Source organism: Homo sapiens, chromosome 2 (assembly GCF_000001405.40).
Source record: "Homo sapiens chromosome 2, GRCh38.p14 Primary Assembly".
Lineage (NCBI taxonomy): Eukaryota > Metazoa > Chordata > Mammalia > Primates > Hominidae > Homo > Homo sapiens.
In genome coordinates this window covers 35098269-35101998 of record NC_000002.12, presented here as the reverse complement: position 1 = coordinate 35101998, position 3730 = coordinate 35098269, and the positions used below count along the sequence as shown (strand labels likewise).

The window sequence follows — 3730 nt, the reverse complement described above, 5'->3', positions numbered from 1 at the left end:
CTGTCTAAACAATCGCAGCTTCCCTCTAAGCCTGCTCTGCAAATATTTTTCACACCTCTTGCCATGAACATTGCACCCCAGAAAAACAGCATGCTGCAATGGGAAAACAGGTGAACTTGAAAAAACTACAAAAGGCTGAAGGGCAAAATTTAACTACAAAATTGGGATTGCTTTAATTTTGTCAAAAACCCAAGATGCATCTGGGAAATGTATGTTTAATTTGCAAGTGGCAGCCTTTAAGGTGTCTGTCAAGAGAGGGCAGGATAGAAGACAGACGAGCAAGTGTAGGGCTAGGCAGCTCTTTCTGTCCTTCAGGATATAGATACTGCCCCCACTGGACTTTAGAAGCCATTTGAGGGAATTAAATCAGAAGCAGAGTCCAGCTTTGAGGAAACAAGTTAGAATGGAAAAAGAAGGTCCCAGGTTGATTTTTAATTATACAGTTGTAAATATTGGGAAATATTGTAAATGAATGAACAGATTATTGCTGACCAGACTTCCCTGAAGCCTCACTTGGAGGTTGTGGAGCATCTGCACTCTCTAACATGGTTCTGCCCTCTCCAGCCTGCATGGGTCCTGGATAAGATGGTCACAGCTTACTTCAAGGTTTTCCATGATGCTGAGAGGAAGCCAGGATGTTTCAGTCTGAATGTTCACTGTATCACTGACTTTTTTGGCAGGCTGAACAGAGCATTAGGACATGCAAAGGCCTTAACTAATACAGCATTATCTGGTTTCAAGAAAAATCCCCCTGCTGTATTTCAGGAAGCACAGAAGGTACACTGAAACATATACTAAAGATGCACTCAGTCAAACAAATTTATCTACTCTCTTCAACTGCATAATGAAAACTTTTAAGAGTTGTTTAAAACAGAATCTAGAAAGCCTGGAAACTACATTCAAACTCTGTTCATAATCAAATGTGAATGTAAGAAGAGACAAGAACTCAGAATGATTCTAAATAGTAAACTCAAAAGCTGTTTTGTTTTCATTTCAAATAGGTGTGAGTTATATCAAACATGCTGGAATTTTCATACAGGCACATTTCCACACCTGTAAGTCTAAGTAAACTCATTTCTTCCGTGAATGATGTTGTACATAGAGGTATAAATGTTTCCAATGTTATCACTATAAATGCACTTTCATATATAACATGATCATTCTTTTATTGTTTTTTGGTGACTATAGGATCATTAAGTTTCAATATTGCCTATCTCTTTTCTAAATGGTTTTCTAGTAAATCACTTGTATGGTTTTATTTTTTTCAACATGGGTTTAAGATTCTTATTGATTACTTCTGGAAAAGCGAGATTCCAGCAAATTGCATTTGCTGAAAAGATCAATGGCCCGTTAGACTGGCATTTTATAAAGACCTAAACTAGGTGCTTCAGTGGAAGGCCAGAAAAAAAATTACCTTTTATAAAGCACCTGTCCAATTGTTCAATATTACACCTCAGGGGAAAATTTTTTCCTAACTCCAGCTGGTTATCATTTTATGCTTTGAAACACAAGGATTGATGACCCTTGTAATTTTAGCCTGGCTTGTAAAACTGCACATAGTTTATTATTTATATTCACATAAATGCCCTTTCTATTGTTTTAATCTTCCTAAGATACTGTCCACAATAATTTTCAGGAGCATCAGGCTTCAAAAGAAGTACTTTAAAAAATGATTTCTGAGAGAAACAAACATTTGGCAAATACATAGGATGAGTCTACCTGACATTATTGCATTTTAGATTGTTCTACCCTAAATGTGAGATAAGCAGAGCAGGGTGGACAGAAGACAGCTATGGAAACAGTTTATCATGGAATTTCTATATTTTCTTTCTTTACTGTGTTACTGAACGAACAATGTGACCTGATTCTTCATTCGACTTACCTTCATAACTAACATTTGTGTTTTCCCCTATCCTCCCAATTAAAAGACTAGAGATTTAGTTTAATAGTTTAATCATTATGATCCTAAAATTTAAAGATCTGGGATTTGTCCCTAAATTAGTCACTGACCTGCTTCATGACCTTGGAGAAATTGTTTTCTTTCTATGGGTTTCATTGGTTTGCTGCATCTGCATCATCTGTAGATACTGATAGTTTGTGCTACAAAATCAGCCCACCTAAGTTCTCGTAGGTTTATTCCTACCAATAATTTCTGACTGGAATTAAGAAAGTCAGATATACAGAGAGTCTCACAGAGAGTCTCCAGTCGGCCCTGGATTCTAGATGTTCACCAAGCCCCATTTCCTCCTCATTCTTACCTTTATGGGGATGTCATGTAAACTCCACTCCATGTCCTTTATTCAGATGTCAACTACTTTAGGGAATTTTACTGGAGTTTCTTCTATCTTTATTTCTGATCCCCATGACCTTGCCATGATCCTTCTCCCCAGGTTCGCAGCCCCTGATGAGTGCCCTGTTCCCAGAGAGTATTACTTATATAGAATCACAATGCTGCCACACAGTGCTCAAGTACTGTCATTATCAAGAAATAACACACACTGGGGCCTGTAGGAGGGTGGGAGGTGGGAGGAGGGAGAGTGTCAGGAAGAACAACTAAGGATGCTGAGCTTAATACCTAGGTGATGGGATGATCTGTGTACCAAACCACCAAGGCATATGTTTACCTATGTAACAAACCTGCACATCCTGCACGTGTACCCCTGAACTTAAAATAAAAGTTGGGGAAAAAAGAAATGCTGCTTTCTCATCCTAGCCATGACCATGGGCCTCTTTCTGTATCAACAAGAGGATGAAAGTAACTTTCAATGGCCAATCTGTTTAATTTTCTCAAGGGAAGTCCTACAGCTTGCCCTGCTATTACTTCATTCAAATTCTAGCTGTTTCCCATCCCAGCAGCCTGCTGAAATGTACCCAGTAAGCTTAAAGACAAAGATTGTCTGTGATATGATGTTTTCCTTTTGTTATATTAAAAAACTAAATGAGATTAACTCTAAGGCCTTGTGTAAACCTCACTTCATATGACGTATTATTTCAATACAAGGCATGATATACAAGATGCACTCACTAAATATCCACTGTTTGAGCAACAATGATACATAAATAGCCTATCATGAATTGCAGGTAACTGCATTTTATAAAGAGAAAAATCTGAGTTTTAAATTACTTAAACTAATTCTGTCCTCTAGATAAGAAATTTTATTGCTATTAACGGTGTAAGATTCATTCACAGCTTAAGACAAATAACAGCAGAGAGTAACCGTATCAGGAGACCCATCTCACGTGCAGAGACACACAAAGGCTCAAAATAAAGGGATGGAGGAAGATCTACCAAGCAAATGGAAAACAATAAAAAGCAGGGGTTGCAATCCTAGTCTCTGATAAAACAGACTTTAAACTTTCTAGACATTGGTTCAGAAGAAGGTTTTTGTGTTTTGTTTTGTTTTCAATTCCCCTGCACTGGTAAGATATTTGGAAAGAAGATGTCTGAGGGGAGAGGGGAACAGGAGACTAGCATTTCCTCTTATGAAAAGCACATTTTCATCCACACAGGATATGTGGCTACGTGGAGGTTATTGTTTAAATGAACAGCTGGTGATGAAGGCTTCTGTATGCTTTTTATGTTCTCTTCAATACTAATAGAGGAAGCCTGGCAATGATAATTTTTCAATCCTTTGTACACAGTTCTAAATAAGTACAAGTTTGAGTAATTTTATATAATAGGAAACAGAATGCTAGACATTACCCAGTGTTGAGGATAAAAATTTAAGTA

The 3730-nt window shown here is 37.5% G+C and overlaps 1 annotated feature.

Annotated features, from left to right (window-relative positions):
• Window positions 2163–2717: an enhancer, noted in NCBI's record as "OCT4-NANOG hESC enhancer chr2:35324348-35324902 (GRCh37/hg19 assembly coordinates)". NCBI's record gives its function as "activates a minimal SCP1, AML or CMV promoter by ChIP-STARR-seq in naive H9 embryonic stem cells {active_cell/tissue: H9 hESC(naive)}" and the evidence as "EXISTENCE:reporter gene assay evidence [ECO:0000049][PMID:30033119]".